We start from the raw sequence: 22,542 nt of genomic DNA, 5'->3' as shown, positions 1-22,542 counted from the left end.
TAACATGAGCGTGTAAGATACTGTTGATATATGGAAGAATATGTGTAAATACCACTAGATAGCTTGTATTGAAGAGATACCTAAATTTTTGTTCAGAGTTGATTGGGTGCATTTTCGTAGGTGTGTTTCTCAATACATTGTGTCCACGTTTTAAGGCATATAGAAATTTGAATACTGTTCAACCTTATAGAGTCCTTTGTTTATAGGTTTAATATATTTAAAGACTAAAGACATCATAGCTCCCTTTAAGATTGAGTAATATTAATAAAATTTGAGATATACAGGGTTAGAATCCAACAGATTCAGAGGTGCCTCTGCCACCCAGGCTAGAGGGCAGTGGTGCAATCACTGCTCACTACAGCCTCGATCTCCTGAGCTCAAGTGATCCTCCCACCGCAGTCTCCCAGGTGGCTGGGACTACAAGCATGCGCCACCATGCTCAGCTAATTTTTTGTACTTCTTAGAGAGTTTTGCCATGTTGTCCAGGCTGATCTCAAACTCCTGGGGTCAAGTGACTCGCCCGCCTTGGCCTTCCAAAGTGCTGAGATGGCAGATGTGAGCCACAGTGTCAGGGTGCGCTCTTGGCTCTTGTTTATTAAAAGTCTGTTGCTGGGCACGGTGGCTCACGCCTGTAAATCCCAGCACTTTGGGAGGCCGAGGCGAGTGATCATGAGGTCAGGAGATCAAGACCATCCTGGCTAACACGGTGAAACCCCGTCTCTACTAGGTGTAGTATAGATTGAAGTCAGGTAATGTAATGCCTCCAGATTCGTTCTTTCTGCTTAGTCTTGCTTTGGCTATGTGGGCTCTTTTTTGGTTCTATATGAATTTTAGGATTACCAGGAGACACCAGGTGCTGCAGCAGCTTCGGGATAACTTGAGGATGCATCCTGGGGAAGAGACACCTCTTGTCCATGGCGCTGACTACTGAGGACAGCTTCGGTGTGGCTTTTCTGCGGCCAGCTTCTTTGAGGCCTTTTTCTTTCATGGTGAGTACAGAAGCTTTCATTTTCTGGAGTGTTCTGTGTATTTCTGCTAGATTCTCACTCCTTTTCTTTTTTTGTCTTGCTATCTTACCATTAATTTTATAGTAGTACTCACTCCCTGAGGGCTTTTGAAAAGCATAGGAGGCTTTAGGGCTGTTTCTGAGGGAAACTCCCCGAGAAGATGGAGAGAGAAGGCGGCTCTGGCTGTGGGAGGAAGAGGAAGCCCAGTGCAGGTGGGGTGTTGGGGCCAGGCCCCAGTTTGCATGTTGGAAGAAGTGAGCTCAAACTTCATAAAGGAGTTACCTGCCTTCCATCATCATGGAGGTACGAAAACTTGTCTTCTTGTTGGAAGCAAGTAAAACTCCAAAAAAAAGAGGGAGACATACAGCAAAATAAACTTCAGATCTTGACCAAATTTTTCGAGATCAGGGATGTCTTTTTTTATGGAGTTAGAGCTCACTTCTTCCAGCAGGCAAATCCATTTTTTTTTTCTGCTTCTAGGATGGTAGAGAGCAGTCTACAGCCTGAGACCCATCACAAGGTAAGAAACTGGGTTTGGATTCTGTCTTGCAAATTCCTTTTAAAGAATAAAGTCGACGTTTAATAACCAGCTGGTGTTAATTTCCGCTTACACTTAGAGTGCTCAGAAATCATATAATTTGTGTGACCATTGTTAATTTAGCAGAATTTTGTTCTAGCTGAAATATGGTAGTAAGATTAAAAGAGTTTTGTTTAAAGGAGCACAATTGTGTAAAAATCAGCTTAAAAGGTAACATCCAAGATTGTGTGTGTGTATGTATGCATGTTTCTATTTGAAAGGCCTTCGTGTTTTTGTTTTTTTTGTTTTACTCTCCTAAGACCTTGTGTTTTTTTCTTTCTTTTTTTTTCTTCTACTCAGTTGGCTGAGTTCTGTGTTCACTTGATTTTTTTTTTTTGACTAAAATAGTTATTGCAACAGAGGCTACACTTGGGTTTTTAAGGAAGAGTGCAGTTTAATTATGTGTAATTTGGCTTAAAGAAAAATATTAGTGTCTCCCTCTTGCACCACCAGACTTTTTTTTTCCTGTAGTTTATGATGTAAGTTTTGGTATTTGATTTTCAACTGAGTTGTTTCCTTTAATGTTCAAATTTAAGGCTATTTAGCTGACAGCTGTCTAGGGTTGTGAACCAGGTTATCAAGAATCTGAAAGTCTAAGATGGGAAATAAAGGGGGATCTTTAAAGCTGTAAAACGTACGGTAACAGCTCATTGGGTTCACCTTGCGCACTGTCTAGAGAGAACCAATTTATCAAGATAGAGGAATTGCAGTGGAGAAAGAGTAATTCACGTAGAGCCGGCTGTGTGGCAAACCAAAGTTTATTACTCAAATCAGTCTCCTTGAGCATTCGGGGATAGAGGGTTTTTGTTTGTTTGTTTTTTGAGATGGAGCCTCACTGTGTCACCCAGGCTGGAGTGCAGTGGTGAAATCTCTGCTCATGGCAACCTCTACCTCCCGGATTCATGCCATTCTCCTGCCTCAGCCTCCTGAGTAGCTGGGATTACAGGCACCCACCACCATGTCTGGCTAATTTTTTGTATTTTTAGTAGAGATGAGGTTTCATCATGTTGGCCAGGATGGTATTGAACTCCTGACCTCGTGATCTGCCCGCCTCAGCCTCACAAAGTGCGGTAATTACAGGCATGAGCCACCGCATGTGGCCAGGGATCAGAGTTTTTAAAGATATTTGGTGGATAGGGACTTGGAAAGTAAGGAGTGCTGATTGGTCAGGTTGGAGATGGAATCATAGGGGGTTGAAGTTAGGTTTTTTTGCTGTCTTCCATTTATGGGAGTGATGGCACATCTGGTTGGGCCAGATTATTGGCCTGGGCAGGGTCTGCAACATGTATCAAGCACTGATGTTAGGCTTTACAGTAGTGATGTCACCCGCAGGAGCAGTTTGGGGAGGTTCAGCATTTTGAAGCCGGAGACTGCGTAACCCCTAAACTGTAATTTCTAATCTTGTAGCTAATATGATAGTCCTGCAAAGGCAGACTGCTCCCCAGGCAAGAAGGGTTTTTTTTTTTTTTTTTTTTTCGGGAAAGGGCTGTTATCAATTTGCTTTCAGAGTCAAACAGTGAACTAAATTCCTTCCCAAAGTTAGTTCAGCTTATGCCCAGGAATGAGGAAGGACAGCTTAAGGGTTAGAAGCAAGATAGGGTCGGTTAGGTCTTTCACTGTCATAATTTCCTCAGTTATAATGCTGCAAAGGCGGTTTCAGTACTTCATCGGCATGCGTGATAGATTTTCATATGTATTTGTGTGTGGTGTATAGAATGTTCCACTACTAAAAATATTTAAAATACCTCTAATTAATTGGCTTAAAGAAAAATAAAAGTGCTTAAGTTTGATACTAAAAAAGACTAGTCAAATGCTTTTTCAAGTTTATGTAACTAAAGTAAAATCTTTAATAAATAAACTAGCTTTAAAATTATTGGTAAAGTAATATTAGAAATGTCGTAAGAATTGACAGCATACATTTTCTTTTACATTTAGTAATCAAGTAATTTTATACATATTCCTGCCAAATACTATAAGGTGTTGAAATTTGGCATTGGGTGTTCAAAACTATAAACCCAGCCCAAAACAGAATGATCTTTACTTGAGTAATTTTTAATAAGTAAGACATTGATAGGGCTTAATGAAAATAGCTGCGTGGTGAAGATGACTAGCACTTCTAATCCTGTGGCTTTTGGCAGTCTAGTTCACAGACAGTAAGGAAAGGACTGTTACTGCCTTTGTTTCAAAGCTATTTTTTATGTGTATAACTTCCCATATTAAATATACAAAAAGGATCTTGCAGGACATCTACAAAGTGTCTGATGGTGGCGGTTGTCAGAGAAGGTGGAGAAAAACAGTTATTTACATTTTGTATATAATAATACCTATATAAATGATGTTTAAAAAAGTCAACATTTATTAACTTGGGGTAATTGATAGTCTTTGATTTGTTAATTTTTTTCTCTACCCTCTTCTAAACTAAAAAAAAAATAGCAAAACTGTGATGCTTTTTCTGTGACCAAAGAAAGTTAAGTTTAAGCATGATAAAATTGTCATACTATTGGATCTAAATTTGGACCCTATATAAATGTTTTAAACACTTGTAGTTAAAATTGTAACATAATTTTTTGATAATAACAAATGCCCCCCGAGGCCCATTAAAAGCCAGAGCTATCAATGGCTACCGTCTAACCCCAGAATCTCTGAATTGTGGACACAGATATATATTCCTATAAGAAAAATTTCAATGATTGGTTTTAGGTATAAATATGTCTTTAAGAGAAAGGAGTCCTGAAAGCAGAACCTTGCCTTGTTTTTCTACTTATTTCCTACCAAATCTGGATGTGTTAACAAGGAAAATCAGAGGGGAACATATTTGCAGTATAAAATAAATGATGCTTAATATAAAATGATCTTGCAATTTATTATATAAAGCACAACACATTTGACAGCAAAAGGAAGTGCTTAGAAGCAAGAAGTCAGAAAGGAGGCATAGGTGAAAAACCTAGTTATAAGTTTTATTTTTTTACTTATTTTCTAAAGCTGCTCAATGATATTAAAAAAGAAGAATAATTTATGTTTTTATCAAAGACAGGCATGCCAGGAATTTTTTCAATTAAAACAATATAAATTATTGGTATATAAGTACTTATGGTTAATTTATTTTAGAAATTATTGACAATAGGAGTTAAGAGTCACTGCAGAAAGGATAATCTAACCGTCTATATTCCATAATACTTACCTTGTTGATTTACACTCTTACTGTTGGTAAAATTGGCACTTAACTGGAACAAGAGAGCTTTTATTTGTGCTTGATTGTTGAACCATTATTTATGTATGGGGGACCCAATTTTAAGAATTCGAAGCCACTTAAATTAACACTACAGTGGGGAGAAGCCAAGATGGCCGAATAGGAACAGCTCCGGTCTACAGCTCCCAGCGTGAGCAACGCAGAAGACGGGTGATTTCTGCATTTCCATCTGAGGTGTACCGGGTTTATCTCACTAGGGAGTGCCAGACAGTGGGCGCAGGCCAGTGGGTGCGCGCACCGTGCGCAAGCCGAAACAGGGCGAGGCATTGCCTCACTTGGGAAGCGCAAGGGGTCAGGGAGTTCCCTTTCCGAGTCAAAGAAAGGGGTGACGGACGCACCTGGAAAATCGGGTCACTCCCACGCGAATATTGCGCTTTTCAGACCGGCTTAAAAAACGGCGAACCACGAGATTATATCCCACACCTGGCTCGGAGGGTCCTACGCCCACGGAATCTCGCTGACTGCTAGCACAGCAGTCTGAGATCAAACAGCAAGGCGGCAGCGAGGCTGGGGGAGAGGCGCCGGCCATTGCCCAGGCTTGATTAGGTAAACAAAGCAGCCAGGAAGCTCGAACTGGGTGGAGCCCACCACAGCTCAAGGAGGCCTGCCTGCCTCTGTAGGCTCCACCTCTGGGGGCAGGGCACAGACAGACAAAAAGACAGCAGTAACCTCTGCAGACTTAAGTGTCCCTGTCTGACAGCTTTGAAGAGAGCAGTGGTTCTCCCAGCACGCAGCTGGAGATCTGAGAACCGGCAGACTGCCTCCTCAAGTGGGTCCCTGACCGCTGACCCCCGAGCAGCCTAAATGGGAGGCACCCCCTAGCAGGGGCACACTGACACCTCACAGGGCAGGGTATTCCAACAGACTTGCAGCTGAGGGTCCTGTCTGTTAGAAGGAAAACTAACAAACAGAAAGGACATCCACACCGAAAACCCATCTGTACATCACTATCATCAAAGACCAAAAGTAGATAAAACCACAAAGATGGGGAAAAAACAGAACAGAAAAACTGGAAACTCTAAAACGCAGACCATCTCTCCTCCTCCAAAGGAACGCAGTTCCTCACCAGCAATGGAACAAAGCTGGACGGAGAATGACTTTGACGAGCTGAGAGAAGAAGGCTTCAGACGATCAAATTACTCTGAGCTACGGGAGGACATTCAAACCAAAGGCAAAGAAGTTGAAAACTTTGAAAAAAATTTAGAAGAAGGTATAACTAGAATAACCAATACAGAGAAGTGCTTAAAGGAGCTGACGGAGCTGAAAACCAAGGCTCGAGAACTACGTGAAGAATGCAGAAGCCTCAGGAGCCGATGCGATCAACTGGAAGAAAGGGTATCAGCAATGGGAGATGAAATGAATGAAATGAAGCGAGAAGGGAAGTTTAGAGAAAAAAGAATAAAAAGAAATGAGCAAAGCCTCCAAGAAATATGGGACTATGTGAAAAGACCAAATCTACGTCTGATTGGTGTACCTGAAAGTGATGGGGAGAATGGAACCAAGTTGGAAAACACTCTGCAGGATATTATCCAGGAGAACTTCCCCAATCTAGCAAGGCAGGCCAACGTTCAGATTCAGGAAATACAGAGAACGCCACAAAGATACTCCTTGAGAAGAGCAACTCCAAGACATAATTGTCAGATTCACCAAAGTTGAAATGAAGGAAAAAATGTTAAGGGCAGCCAGACAGAAAGGTCAGGTTACCCTCAAAGGAAAGCCCGTCAGACTAACAGCGGATCTCTCGGCAGAAACCCTACAAGCCAGAAGAGAGTGGGGGCCAATATTCAGCATTCTTAAAGAAAAGAATTTTCAACCCAGAATTTCATATCCAGCCAAACTAAGCTTCATAAGTGAAGGAGAAATAAAATACTTCACAGACAAGCAAATGCTGAGAGATTTTGTCACCACCAGGCCTGCCCTAAAAGAGCTCCTGAAGGAAGCGCTAAACATGGAAAGGAACAACCAGTACCAGCCGCTGCAAAGTCATGCCAAAATGTAAAGACCGTCGAGACTAGGAAGAAACTGCATCAACTAACGAGCAAAATAACCAGCTAACATCATAATGACAGGATCAAATTCACACATAACAATATTAACTTTAAATGTAAATGGACTAAATTCTCCAATTAAAAGACACAGACTGGCAAATTGGATAAAGAGTCAAGACCCATCAGTGTGCTGTATTCAGGAAACCCATCTCACGTGCAGAGGCACCCATAGGCTCAAAGTAAAAAAATGGAGGAAGATCTATCAAGCAAATGGAAAACAAAAAAAGGCAGGGGTTGCAATCCTAGTCTCTGATAAAACAGACTTTAAACCAACAAAGATCAAAAGAGACAAGGCCATTACATAATGGTAAAGGGATCAATTCAACAAGAAGAGCTAACTATCCTAAATATATATGCACCCAATACAGGAGCACCCAGATTCATAAAGCAAGTCCTGAGTGACCTACAAAGAGACTTAGACTCCCACACATTAATAATGGGAAACTTTAACACCCCACTGTCAACATTAGACAGATCAACGAGACAGAAAGTCAACAAGGATACCCAGGAATTGAACTCAGCTCTGCACCAAGTGGACCTAATAGACATCTACAGAACTCTCCACCCCAAATCAACAGAATATACATTTTTTTCAGCACCACACCACACCTATTCCAAAATTGACCACATAGTTGGAAGTAAAGCTCTCCTCAGCAAATGTAAAAGAACAGAAATTATAACAAACTATCTCTCAGACCACAGTGCAATCAAACTAGAACTCAGGATTAAGAATCTCACTCAAAGCCGCTCAACTACATGGAAACTGAACAACCTGCTCCTGAATGACTACTGGGTACATAACGAAATGAAGGCAGAAATAAAGATGTTATTTGAAACCAATGAGAACAAAGACACAACATACCAGAATCTCTGGGACGCATTCAAAGCAGTGTGTAGAGGGAAATTTATAACACTAAATGCCCACAAGAGAAAGCAGGAAAGATCCAAAATTGACACCTTAACATCACAATTAAAAGAACTAGAAAAGCAAGAGCAAGCACATTCAAAAGCTAGCAGAAGGCAAGAAATAACTAAAATCTGAGCAGAACTGAAGGAAATAGAGACACAAAAAACCCTTCAAAAAATCAATGAATCCAGGAGCTGGTTTTTTGAAAGGATCAACAAAATTGATAGACCACTAGCAAGACTAATAAAAAAAGAAGAATCAAATAGACACAATAAAAAATGATAAAGGGGATATCACCACCGATCCCGCAGAAATACAAACTACCATCAGAGAATACTACAAACACCTCTACGCAAATAAACTGGAAAATCTAGAAGAAATGGATAAATTCCTCAATACATACACTCTCCCAAGACTAAACCAGGAAGAAGTTGAATCTCTGAATAGACCAATAACAGGAGCTGAAATTGTGGCAATAATCAATAGTTTACCAACCAAAAAGAGTCCAGGACCAGATGGATTCACGGCCGAATTCTACCAGAGGTACAAGGAGGAACTGGTACCATTCCTTCTGAAACTATTCCAATCAATAGAAAAAGAGGGAATCCTCCCTAACTCATTTTATGAGGCCAGCATCATTCTGATACCAAAGCCGGGCAGAGACACAACCAAAAAAGAGAATTTTAGACCAATATCCTTGATGAACATTGATGCAAAAATCCTCAATAAAATACTGGCAAAACAAATCCAGCAGCACATCAAAAAGCTTATCCACCATGATCAAGTGGGCTTCATCCCTGGGATGCAAGGCTGGTTCAATATACGCAAATCAATAAATGTAATCCAGCATATAAACAGAGCCAAAGACAAAAACCACATGATTATCTCAATAGATGCAGAAAATCCTTTGACAAAATTCAACAACCCTTCATGCTAAAAACTCTCAATAAATTAGGTATTGATGGGACATATTTCAAAATAATAGCTATCTATGACAAACCCACAGCCAATATCATACTGAATGGGCAAAAACTGGAAGCATTCCCTTTGAAAACTGGTACAAGACAGGGATGCCCTGTCTCACCACTCCTATTCAACATAGTGTTGGAAGTTCTGACCAGGGCAATCAGGCAGGAGAAGGAAATAAAGGGTATTCAGTTAGGAAAAGAGGAAGTCAAATTGTCCCTGTTTGCAGACGACATGATTGTATATCTAGAAAACCCCATTGTCTCAGCCCAAAATCTCCTTAAGCTGCTAAGCAACTTCAGCAAAGTCTCAGGATACAAAATCAATGTACAAAAATCACAAGCATTCTTATACACCAACAACAGACAAACAGAGAGCCAAATCATGAGTGAACTCCCATTCACAATTGCTTCAAAGAGAATAAAATACCTAGGAATCCAACTTACAAGGGATGTGAAGGTCCTCTTGAAGGAGAACTACAAACCACTGCTCAAGGAAATAAAAGAGGATACAAACAAATGGAAGAACATTCCATGCTCATGGGTAGGAAGAATCAATATCATGAAAATGGCCATACTGCCCAAGGTAATTTACAGATTCAGTGCCATCCCCATCAAGCTACCAATCACTTTCTTCACAGAATTGGAAAAAACCACTTTAAAGTTCATATGGAACCAAAAAAGAGCCCACATCGCCAAGTCAGTCCTAAGCCAAAAGAACAAAGCTGGAGGCATCACAGTACCTGACTTCAAACTATACTACAAGTCTACAGTAACCAAAACAGCATGGTACTGGTACCAAAACAGAGAGATAGATCAATGGAACGGAACAGAGCCCTCAGAAATAATGCCACATATCTACAACTATCTGATCTTTGACAAACCTGAGAAAAACAAGCAATGGGGAAAGGATTCCCTATTTAATAAATGGTGCTGGGAAAACTGGCTAGCCATATGTAGAAAGCTGAAACTGGATCCCTTCCTTACACCTTATACAAAAATCAATTCAAGATGGGTTAAAGATTTAAACGTTAGACCTAAAACCATAAAAACCCTAGAAGAAAACCTAGGCATTACCATTCAGGACATAGGCATGGGCAAGGACTTCATGTCCAAAACACCAAAAGCAATGGCAACAAAAGCCAAAATTGACAAATGGGATCTAATTAAACTAAAGAGCTTCTGCACAGCAAAAGAAACTACCATCAGAGTGAACAGGCAACCTACAAAATGGGAGAAAATTTTCGCAACCTACTTATCTGACAAAGGGCTAATATCCAGAATCTACAATGAACTCAAACAAATTTACAAGAAAAAAACAACCCCATCAAAAAGTGGGCGAAGGACATGAACAGACACTTCTCAAAAGAAGACATTTATGCAGCCAGAAAACACATGAAAAAATGCTCATCATCACCAGCCATCAGAGAAATGCAAGTCAAAACCACAATGAGATACCATCTTACACCAGTTAGAATGGCAATCATTAAAAAGTCAGGAAACAACAGGTGCTGGAGAGGATGTGGAGAAATAGGAACACTTTTACACTGTTGGTGGGAATGTAAACTAGTTCAACCATTGTGGAAGTCGGTGTGGCGATTCCTCAGGGATCTAGAACTAGAAATACCATTTGACCCAGCCATCCCATTACTGGGTATATACCCAAAGGACTGTAAATCATGCTGCTATAAAGACACATGCCCACATATGTTTATTGCGGCATTATTCACAATAGCAAAGACTTGGAACCAACCCAAATGTCCAACAATGATAGACTGGATTAAGAAAATGTGGCACATATACACCATGGAATACTATGCAGCCATAAAAAATGATGAGTTCGTGTCCTTTGTAGGGACATGGATGAAATTGGAAATCATCATTCTCAGTAAACTATCGCAAGAACAAAAAACCAAACACCGCATATTCTCACTCATAGGTGGGAATTGAACAATGAGATCACATGGACACAGGAAGGGGAATATCACACTCTGGGGACTGTGGTGGGGTGGGGGGATGGGGGGAGGGATAGCATTGGGAGATATACCTAATGCTAGATGATGAGTTAGTGGGTGCAGCGCACCAGCATGGCACATGTATGCATATGTAACTAACCTGCACAATGTGCACATGTACCCTAAAACTTAAAGTATAATAAAATAGAAAAAAAATAAATTAACACTACACACACACATGCCCACACACACGCATATATTTATATACATACAGGCATTTATATATATATGTATATACACCCACATACATGTATACATAAATACACACATACATACACACACACACAATTTTACACTTTAAGCATATGGGAAAAGTAAATGTGAAATAGGGGTTAGAATCAGGGAGGCAGGGCATCACAGGTTTAGGTTATAAATCTGATGGTATTTTTATATTTGGATTCTGAATTTTGTTTGAGCTCCCTAGCAACAATATGTAAAAAAACACAAGGAAGCCATGATCAGGTTTGTGTAGCCCTGAAGAAAAACAATATGCATATACATATATGTATATATGTATGTGCCTGTAAAGATACAAGTATGCATTTTTTTTTTCTTCAGGGCTACATTTTGCTTTGTATTATTTTGCTGTAATAAATCATAGCTATGAATATAACTATGCTGAGTCCTGTGAGTCCTTCTAGAGAACACTTAACCTGTGGATGATCTTGGGGATTTCCAACATACTGTACTGTATATTTAGCATTCTGAATGTTCTTTTCTGTTCTTATGCTCTCAATTTTAATTCATTTTTATTTTATTTTATATTTTTAAGACAGGGTCTCACTCTGTCACTCAGGCTGGAGTGCAGTGGCACAATCTTGGCTCTCTGAAATCTCCACCTCCTGGATTCAAGCGATTCTCCTGCCTCAGCTTCCTGAGTAGTTGTGGTTACAGGCACCCGCCACCATGCCTGGCTAATTTTTGTATTTTTAGTAGAGACGAAATTTCACTATGCTAGCCAGGGTGGTCTCAAACTTCTGACTTCAGGTGATCCACCCACCTGGGCCTCCCAAAGTGCTGAGATTACAGGTGTGAGCCACCACACCCGGCCTGCTGTCTTTATTTTAAAAATAGCATTCTTTAAATTTTTAAGTATTTTTTAGATATTAATAATTTACCGTTTTTTGAAGTTTTCTTCTCATTCCTTATCTTTTTTCTCAAAATTAATTGTATTGTTTTTCTTTCATGTTAATAAGGTTTCCTTATACCTGGTGATTCTGAGCTGTTTTCACTTTAAATATCTAATAAGTTTGGTTTGTTTGTTTTTTTGAGAGAGTCTCAATCTCTTGCCCAAGCTAGAATGCAGGGGCACATCTCAGCTCACTGCAACCTCCACCTCCTGGGTTCATGAGATTCCTGTGCCTCAGCCTCCCAAGTAGCTGAGATTACAGGCATGTGCCACCATGCCTGGCTAAATTTTGTATTTTTAGTAGAGATGAGATTTCACCATGTTGGCCAGGCTGGTTTCAAACTCCTGTCCTCAAGTGATCCGCCTGTCTCGGCCTCTCAAACTGCTGGGATTACATCATGAGTCATCGCGTCTGGCCAACTTGTAGATCTTAAATATTTTACACGCACGCACACACAGTAACTGTGAAGATGGATGTGTCGATTGTAGTAATCATTTCAGAATGTATACATATATTAAATCATCAGGTACACATTAAATTATATAAATTTTGTCAATTATACCTCAAGCTGGAAAAAAATGTAAATCTACTCCTAAATGTGAGACAATTGAAAGTTCATGTCCATGGGCTAGGGTAAGTTGGTGGAGAGCTAACTTCATTGTTGGAGGCTTTCTAAATGTATGTCTTTCATTTGCACATACATGTATTTCTTTTTCTTGAACATTTAGTTTGTTCAGGAAAATATTGCGTGGTTGGTTGCCTGGAAAGATACATGTCTGATTGTCAGACTTGGAAGCAAGATAAAGGAAAGAGCCTGCTGGTTTATGGTATAGAGATTTTCACTTGTTAAGGAAGTAGGATTATTGTAGAAATACTATTTGGCAGTTCAAGTTTGTAAAACACAGGTAAAGGTAATCGTTGATGGGTCCCTTCCTCTGAGATGACCAAACTATCTGTAGACTGATTGGTAGACTCACAGAGACCACTTGTTCTTGGACAACAGTTAGAAGGATACCGCCCTAGGCAATAAAAAGGTGGTTGTTGAAGGCAGCAAGAAGCGCTGTAACATACCAGTTCATTTTTCTTGCCTTAGCAAGCACTTACTGATTGCCTTTTAAAACTCCCAACCATAGGGGATAAAACAATTAGAAGAAAGATACCTTTTCTGCTCCCATGGAATTTACATTCTAATACAACAGTGGATATTAAACAATATATCATCTGGTTATGTAATTACAGTTGTTATAAGAACCATATAGGAGAGGCTTACTGCTGTGGGGTTCAGGATGGTGTCTATGGAAGTATGAATAAGGAAAGTGGTGGGAGAATAAAAGGAGAGTAGCAGAGACTTAGACTGAGAGACTAATTGGGATAATGACAACTGTGGGATTCAATGAGGTGTATAATGTGTTTAGTGCCTGGTACTTGTGCTCAGTAAGTGCTAATTAGTAATTGCTTATAGCAATACTGTTATCTTGGGTGATCAAATAGAAGATCCCTAGCAAGTAATTTATAAAGAAACAAATTTTGTGTCAACTCTATAATAAAACAACATATCCTTAGAATCATTTATCACTTAAAAATCCCTTATTTTATAGAAATTTTTGTGTTTCAAAAGTATAGCTAGGGCAGTCCCTCTTCAGGGCGGATACTTGAAGGAGACGAAATCGCCTCATAAAGGTGTCTGCACTCCCATGTTCGTTGCAGTGTTATTCAGAAGGTAGCCAAGATATGGAAACAACCTAAATGTCTGTTGATGGCAAATCAATAAAGAAAATATTTGTGTTTATACAACAGAATATTATTCAGCCTTTAAAAAAAGGATATTCTGTCATTTGCCACAATATGGATGGACATGGAGGACATTATGCTAAGTGAAATAGACCACACACACACACACACACACACACACACACACACACAAATATTATATAATCTCACTTATATGTGGAATATTTTTAAAAAGTTAAATATACAGAGATGGAGAATAAAACACTGGTTACCTTGGGCAGGAGGAGGAAGGAAATGGGATTATATAGATAACAAAGTGGCAGATAATGTAGAATGAAAAGTCTGGAGAGCTTATGTGTAACAGGAAGACTATAGTTGATAAAATTGCATTAGGGATTTTTATTAAATAAGTAACTTAGCTGCTCATTACACACACACACAGTAACTATGGTAGATATGTTGCTTCACTATAGTAACCATTTTACTATCTATATACATCCCATGATACCATTTTGTAAATCTCATATACACAATGAAATTTTTTGTTAAGGTATTGTTGGGGCAGAGATCAGGCTTAACTTTGTGGTTGTATCTGTAGCACCCAGCATAGTGCCAGACACATAGAAGGTGTTCAGTCTTTTTTTTAAGTATCTGAAATATTTACCAGAAATTCTAGTCTCTTAGTTGAGAGACATCTAGGAAGGATATGTGATTTTAGATATTAATAAAAGAAGTATTCTTCCTTTTTTTCTGACTACAATGTTGGTATTGGTGCTGTTTTTTTAGGGACATTATTGATGGCCTTTTAGTTAGAATTTAAATATTATCCTTTGTGTAGCCAGCAGGGATCTGTTGGGATGAAGTCTTATTTTTCTTTTCTTGGGGGAAATTGGTGCTTTCTAACTTTCCAGCACTTAGACTCACAGTGTATTAGTTATCTATTGCTGCAAAACACATTACTTCAAAACTTTGCAATTTAAAACAGCAGACATTTATTATCCCACAGTTTCTATGGGTTAGGAAGATAGGAGAGGCTTAGCTGGGTGCCTCTGTTGCAGGGTCTCCTGGGCTTGCAGTCAAGCGGTTGGCTGGGACTGTATCATCATCTGAAAGCTTTACTGGGGCAGGGGATGATGTGCTTCCAAGTTCACTTCCCTGATTGTTGGGAGGAGGACTGACTTCCGTGTTGTGTGGGCGTCTTCCTGGTTTATATTTGTTACCTGGTGTCTAGAGCTGATGTACTGGGCGCTGTCCCCCAGCATGGTTATTTTGTTTTTTCTCTCATTTAGATAAAAACTTATGTGAATTTTAGTGTAAACCCCACCCCCATTATGGTCTAAGGGGCCTTTTAGAAAATGAGTAGAATGTACACAGAAGCAAAATTTTTAGCCTGTGATCTTTTGAAGAATTCTCTGAGTGAAAGGAGAGACAAATTAACCGTTGTTCACTGAGTGCTTTGCTTAATGTTGTGCCTTCTTTTGCTAAATCCTGTTTGCTGAAATCTTATATCTTAAGTTGCTGATAGTTTGTTAATAGAGATCATCATTAAAAGGTGATTACATTTCTTCATGCAGCTTAGCTTTACATTTCTTCCATTATATCCCAAGATTTCTATAATATAGCATGAAATGTTTTAAAAAGTTTTTCCCAATTGTGTAAAAGTAATGTATCTAATTGAAAAGAGAAACTCATAAACGTAAAAAGTTTTAAAAATCATCTTATTCTTACCTCTCAAATACAATGACCTCATAGTTATAATTTTGCTCGAGGTTTTTTCCTCCTCATTCTAGGCATAATTATTTTCTTACATGTGTTCCAATATTACTTTTTTGTGAAAAATGTAGTTACAAATGTGGTCTAATTTTATTTTATACTTTAAAAATTATTAACAAGATGGTCATATTTTTATATATTTACTGATCACTTATCTTTGAATTGTCCCGTATTTCTTGAACAGTTTTTCCAATAAATATTGTTATTAGTAGGCAAGACAACCTTATCTGTTATGTAAACTTTTGGTAGCTGATTGTATGTCCATTCTTTTACCTCCTGTTTGTTTCTTTATTAGCAGTGTCTTTTTGTTACCGAATTCATTCATTTTCTTGTAGGCAAGTATCAGTGTTGTTATAGGTGCTGTGTGTTTGTCTTGCTTAGGAAAGTCTTTCTCACTCCAGTAATATTCTTTAGTGTTTTTCCTAATAGCTTTATGGCTTTGTTTTTTTCTTAATCTCTCTGTCTCTTGCGCGCATGCACACACACACACACGCTCTTTGAGACGGGTCTCATTCTATCATCACCCAGGCTGGAGTGTTGCGGCGCAATTATGGCTCACCTTGCATCCTCAACCTCCCGCGCTCAAGAGATTCCCCCACCTCAGCCTACCAAGCAGCTGGGACTACAGGTGCATGCCACCACCTCCAGCTAATTTTTAAATTTTTTTTGTAGAAACACAGTCTCACTTTGTTCCCCAGGTTGGTCTGAAACTCCTGGGCTCAAGTGATCTGCCTGCCTCAGCCTCCCCAAAGTGCTGGTTTTATAGGGATGAGCCACCACATCTGGCAATACCCATATATTTTAAAATTTGGTATGAATTAGTCTTTTCTTTTTGATGTGGCATCGTTGTATTGACTAATCCATTGATTTGAAATACCACCTTTATTATATTAAATTTCTGTGTAAATATGAAGATCTTTTCTGTGACTGCAATTAATTTATCCTTATAATGCACAGGTTGTGTTACAAGAGCTTAACAGTATATTTCAGTGCTTGGTCATGTCTCGTTCTTGTTTTTCAAAAATTTCTTTGGTATTCTCACAAGTTTATTCTTCCAAATTAGCTTCAGAATCAGCTTACCATTTTAAATAAGCATCCCCCTTCTAAATCTATTATAATACCTCATGACTTTCTCCTCTATTCTTACTAACTTAATTTAAGCTACCATTCTCTGTTGACTAAGACTGTTTTCTAACATACAGCAACAGGAGGGTTCTTTTTAAAACATAAATCAGATTATGTCATTCCTTTGCTTACATTCCTTCAGTGCCTTCTTCCCCTGTCTTTTGATTATCTGTTGCTGTATAATAAGGTATTTCAAAGCCTTGTAGCCTAAAAACTGTTTTATTGTGCTAACAATTTTTGGGGGTCAGTAATTCATGACAGGTTCAGGTGGGCAGTTCTTCTGTTCCATATGGTGTTGCTGAGGCTGGAGAATCCCTTCCATTATGGCTTCTTCAGTCACATGTCTGGCTCCTCAGTGCTTCTCGGCATCCTCTGCACAAGGGCATCTCATTCTTCAGCATCTCTGCATGCGGCCTCGGCTTCTCACAGCATGCTGCTCTCAGAGTAGTCCCATTTTTTTACCTGGCAGCAGGAAGAGGGAAATAAAAACTGTCAAACCAATTAAGGGCTGTGGCCTGGAACTACACAGTGTGCATTTAGCCATATTTTATTGGTCAGAAGAGTCACTGGACCTGCTAGATGAAAGGAGGTGGAAAAAGAAATTTCTCTTTCTAATGAGGGAGTGGCAAAATCTTTTTTTTTTTTTTTTTTTTTTTGAGACAGTCTTGCTCTGTCGCGCAGGCTGGAGTGCAGTGGCATGATCTCGGCTCACTGCAAGCTCTGCCTCCCAGGTTCACGCCATTCTCCTGCCTCAGCCTCCTGAGTAGCTGGGACTACAGGTGCCCACCACCATGCTTGGCTAATTTTTTTTTTTTTGTATTTTTAGTATTTTTAGTAGAGACAGGGTTTCACCGTGTTAGCCAGGATGGTCTTGATTTCCTGACCTTGTGATCCGCCTGCCTCGGCCTCCCAAAGTGCTGGGATTACAGGCGTGAGCCACCGCGCCTGGCTGGGAGTGGCAAAATCTTATTGCAGGAAGGCATGTGGGCTGAGAGATACTTTTGACAGTTGGGAAATATAATCTGTGATATCATCAAATTCAAAATAAATTCAAAGTTCTTAAAATGGCCCATAAGGCTTTTCATGATCTGACTCCTGCTTCTCGAATCTCTTGACCGCATCCCCTAGATTTTCCTCTTTTGTTCCCTTTGGGTGAACCACATTGGCCTTCTTGCTAGGCTTTGAACATGCCTCACCCAACATCCCAACATCAGATCCATTTTACTTGCAACTACTGCCTTGAATGCTCCTCTTTAGATCTTTGCGTGGGTCTTCCCATTCTTATCTATTTATTTATTTACTTAGAGACAGTGTCTCTCACTGTTGCCCAGGCTGGAGTGCAGTGGCAAGATCTTGGCTCACTGCAACCTCTGCCTCCCGGGTTCAAGCAATTCTCCCACCTCATCCTCCTGAGTAGCTGGGACTACAGGTATGCACCATCATGCCTGACTAATTTGTATTTTTTGGTTTCACGAGGTTTCCCCATGTTGGCCAGGCTGGTCTCAAACCCCTGACGTCAAGTGATCCACCTGCCTCGGCCTCCCAAAGTGCTGGGATTAGAGGTGTGAACCACGCTGGTCTTCCCATTCTTTTAGTTCATTTAGGTCTCTGCTCAAATGTCACATCTTCAGAGACCTTCCCCTGACCATCTTGTCTGATAAATTCTTGATTACTTGGAACTCCTTAATCTTGATTTTTTTTTCCTTTTTCATAGAATTCGGTGCTGTTAGTAGGAGTCTGGGGGACCTGAGTACCACTTTTCTTCCTTCCCTGCCTGGCTTCTGAGCAAGTTGAGAAATGAGTAAAGGTGGAGGCCAAAATATATTTTTAAAATTCCCCTAACTAAAGGGAGATGAAGCAAAGGGAACAAAGGAAGTATGGTGAAGATTCTCAGATGTCCCACATGGGAAACTGGGTAGATTGTGGTACTACCTACTATGATAGGAAACATAGGAGGAAGATTATGGATTAAGCTTTGGAAATGTTGAGTTTGAAGTGTCTACAAGTTATCCACGTGGAGAAACCAGATGGACATTTGGATAACACATCTGAAGCTCAGGAGGGAAGTTTACATTACAGATGCAGGTTTGGTGGTAGTTTTAGTTTTCTACTGCTGTGTAACAAACTACTACAAACAGTGGCCTAAAACACACAGAATGACTATCTTACAGTTTCTGTGGGTCAGGAGTCAGGGCATTGCTTAGCTGGGTTCTCTGCCCAGGTTCTCATCAGGCTGAAATCAAGGTTTTGGTTAGGGCCTCAATCTTACCTGAGGCTTGGGGTTCTCTTCCAGGCTCACTAGTTGTTGGCAGAAGGTTCAGGAATCTGAGGAGACAAGACTTTTGGGAACACCAACCCAGAAGTTGCCATTCCATGTGTCAGAGTCTTGTTCTTTCCCAGCCAGGCCCCTGATCTGGGCGTGGCAGACCTGCTGCCTTTGGGAGTTCAACCTTTGAAGCCCAACACGTACAGATTTAGATATCTAATCTGTTCGTCCGTCCATCCATCCAATCTATATAGCTATGAGATACATAAGTATAAATGAATGAGTGACAATTAAGTGCTGGTTCTGGTCCTTAGGTTTCTCTACCCTCCTGCTGCAGGAGAGGAGAGTCTCTCTGTGTTTTCAGAGAGGTTCTCTAGCTTTCAAACTTAATTTTCAATTGGAAGTTAATCAGCTTTTTTTTTTGTTGTTGTTTTCTTTTTTTGTTTCAAATCAACATATGGGAGTGAGGAGCACTAGGCAAATACGGTGCAGGCCCAGCACCAGCTTTGGCCAACCTCCATGGGGAGCCTGGAGTGAGAATGGGAGCCTGGGGCAAGAACGGCTCTTCTGGGTTGCCCAGAATTGCAGTTGAGGTGTCCAGGCCTTTATATTGCCATATCAGTTAGTCATTGGATGTGGGTTACCGTGGGAAAGGTATGACCTTGAACAGGGTTGTTCCCTGTAGGTGAGGCAATCCCTGAAGGGGCTGATTGACAGCACTTTCAGCACTTACAGCAAGTCCTTTTTTGAAGGAGGAACTGGGTAGCACCTCAGTGTCTACCATGATTTCTCTGTATCCGCCAAATGGCCAGTTTGTTGTTGGCTTTTATTATCATCATGCATTCATGGAATTAAGCATATATTTAGCAAACTTCGCTAAATTATGTGTATAGAAAAGTGCACAAATTGTAAATATACAGCTCAGTTACCAAGTAAACACACCGGTATAACCAGTATCCAGATCAAGAAATAAAACAATACTGTGAATCTCGAAGTCCTCCTTGTGTTTCCTTTCAGTCACTGACTTCCAGGGATCTATCCAGACTTATAAAATCATGGGATGAATTTAGCCTGGTTTTGAAATTTATGTAACATCATACAGAATATCTTGTTCTGACTTCTGTCAGTGTTGCATTTGCAAAATTAAGCTCACAGTTGTAAGTCATTTTCTTGCTGTGTATTTTTTCATGGTAGGTGTATACCAGTTTTTAAAAACCACTTCTTAATCCAGTCTATCATTGTTGGACATTTGGCTTGGTTGTGCACATGTACCCTAAAACTTAAAGTATAATAATGAAAAAAAAAAACACTTCTGCTGTTGACATTTGGATTGTTCCAGTTTTTGGAAATTATAAAACATGCTGCCATAAAACATCGTTGTACATGTCTTTTGGTGAACATTTATACATTTCTGTCGGGTGTATAGTAAAATTGCTGAGTGTGTGTGTGTTCAGTTTTAGCAGATAATGCCAGTTTTCAAGGTAACTACTAAGTTACACCCCCTACTAATAGCCCATGAGGTTGCCAGTTGCTGTAATTTGCTCCTGTTTGTAGAAGACACAGCCTTCCAGGGCTTATCACTGAGAACTGTATTTACTAAGGTCTCCATTAGCAGATTCTGAACTCTTACTGTCTTGAAGCTGCAAGGCTTTCACATTCTGCTTTGCTTTTCAGAAGTTTTTGGTTTAGCCTTTTTACCCTGTTCCACTCACTGAGGCATTTGCGATTCCCTCAGTTCTTCAGTTTTGCCAGTCTAGCCCTCAGTGAACACCAGAATCTCTGATGGTTTCTTCTTCCAGTAGAGGTACATTGCCTGGGGAAAAAAGCCTTATTTCTCAAAATCTCTTTTTCTGACCAGAATCTGCAAATGCCCCAGAGGAAAAGCAGCTGCAGAAGATCGCGTTACCTCACTATAGCTCACTGTTTTTGAAATCTTAGTCTTACTAATCATTGTTCCTTCAGTAGCTCTCTGAATTCTACAGATGAGTTTTATATTTCATCTTTTGTTAGAAATTAAGTTTGTGGTAGGAGCTATTGTTTTGCAGTAAACTATTCTATCCTACATGGAAACACTAGTGTGGATTTAAATATATTTAATATGTTTCATTAAATTGCCATCCTTAACCACGTCCAAGTTATTACACTTTTGGTCAGTGGGGGCCTCTTTAAAATTCTTTCCTAACCATTTTTGACATGACCCTTATTAGTCAGTGTTGCTGTCTGGTATGACAACATGTTCCAGGGTCATTATGTCCTTTTTTTTTTTTTTTTTTTTTTTTTTTGTTGCTTCAGACATAGAAGCAGTCATTTCCCAAAGGAGTCCAGATTCTTTTTACTGGGAAATGGTGGTTGAAGATTACAAATGGGTGGGGATTACTATGGGATTGGTCATTAGTCATTACTATAGGATTGGTCATTGTTTCTAGGTGTTTTCAGTGGACAGAAGTAGAAATATGTTTTTTTAATACAAAATAAAATATCTTGACTTCATTTCATATAGATACTTCTATTTCAAATTCAAGACTACAGGTTCTTTACCATTACTTTGCTCTCCCATGCTGAAAGTCTTGGGTTTTTAGAGACAGTAGGAGTGATAGAATTAAAATACCACAGAAGTATTTGTTTCCTTGATTCTACAGTACATACAGGATCAAGATTTATTTTCTGTTTGTCACTAGAGTTTATTCTACTAGGAATATACAGTCAGTATCACTTGAAATCACTTAGAATAGTTCCTCTCTTTATGATTATACCATTAAAGAATTAGATACAGATTTCAGTTCACTTGTTTATATTTTATTTCTAGACTTCTTAAAATTTTAATTTTATGTTTATGTAAGTTACATAGTTCTAAAATGAAATCTACAAAAACAATATATATTTCATACAGAATATGGATTCTGTCCTTGTCACTTCTGCTTCATTTCTTTTCATTTCCTAAAGGCAACTACTAATTTTTTTAACATTTCATTCTTCTATTGTTTTGTTTCTTAATATGAGAAACATATATTTCTATCTCTTCCCTCTTCTTAGATGAATAGAGTATACTGTGTATATTTTATCCATCTTGTTTTTTTTTAACAAGATATATTCTGGAGATTATTCCATTGTTTAATAAATTTGGAATATTTTTTGTTTTATGTTACATTTAATTTTAGACATGTCTTTTATTTAAGTGTCATTTTGTTGTCCACGTTATTTGCTCTTTCAGCATATATAAATATATGTACACATACACACACACACACACACACACACACACACATATATATATATATATTTTTTTTTTGAGACAGTCTTGCTCTGTTGCCCAGGCTGGAGTGCAGTGGGACTTAGCTCACTGCAACGTCTGCCCCCTGGGTTGAAACAATTCTCATGACTCAGCCTCCCAAGTAGCTGGAACTATAGGCCTGCGCCATCACAGTTGGCTAATTTTTGTATTTTAGTAAAGACAAGAGTTTCACCATGTTAGCCACGCTGGTCTCAATTGCCTGGCTTGGACTTAGCATATATTTTTGTATTTAGAAAGATTTACGTTTCAGACCGGCATTCAGACTATGTAATGCTAAGGAATTTATTGTAGAAAGTAGACTGTATACAATTTTGAGGGGACTAAGTGAGTTGTGTATCTAGAACAGGGAATTGGAGGATCAGAGGAGTCCACTAACCAGATTGTTCAAATCAATGACAATGGGTAGGCAAGTTGGAGCTGTTTGGGAAATCTGAGAAGTCAAGTATATCCAGCCCC

General features: G+C 39.4%; 1 long non-coding RNA gene across 1 annotated transcript in view, besides 1 other annotated feature; it reads left to right on the top strand.

Annotated features, from left to right (window-relative positions):
* Positions 1 to 22,542, top strand: part of LOC107984132 (uncharacterized) — a 44,250-nt gene that overhangs the window by 3,648 nt on the left and 18,060 nt on the right. The window contains exons 2-3 of the long non-coding RNA NR_146902.1: positions 835 to 989; positions 1,488 to 1,527. This is a non-coding gene — a long non-coding RNA (uncharacterized LOC107984132). The remainder of the gene's footprint in view (positions 1 to 834; positions 990 to 1,487; positions 1,528 to 22,542) is intronic.
* Positions 5,508 to 5,670: a silencer, noted in NCBI's record as "fragment chr13:19683106-19683268 (GRCh37/hg19 assembly coordinates)". NCBI's record gives its function as "represses an EF-1alpha promoter that drives an FKBP-Casp9 reporter gene in an ReSE screen in K562 erythroleukemia cells {active_cell/tissue: K562}" and the evidence as "EXISTENCE:reporter gene assay evidence [ECO:0000049][PMID:32094911]".

The sequence above is a fragment of the Homo sapiens genome, chromosome 13 (genome assembly GCF_000001405.40).
Source record: "Homo sapiens chromosome 13, GRCh38.p14 Primary Assembly".
Classification (NCBI taxonomy): Eukaryota; Metazoa; Chordata; class Mammalia; order Primates; family Hominidae; genus Homo; species Homo sapiens.
This window is presented reverse-complemented; position numbering and strand designations above follow the sequence as displayed.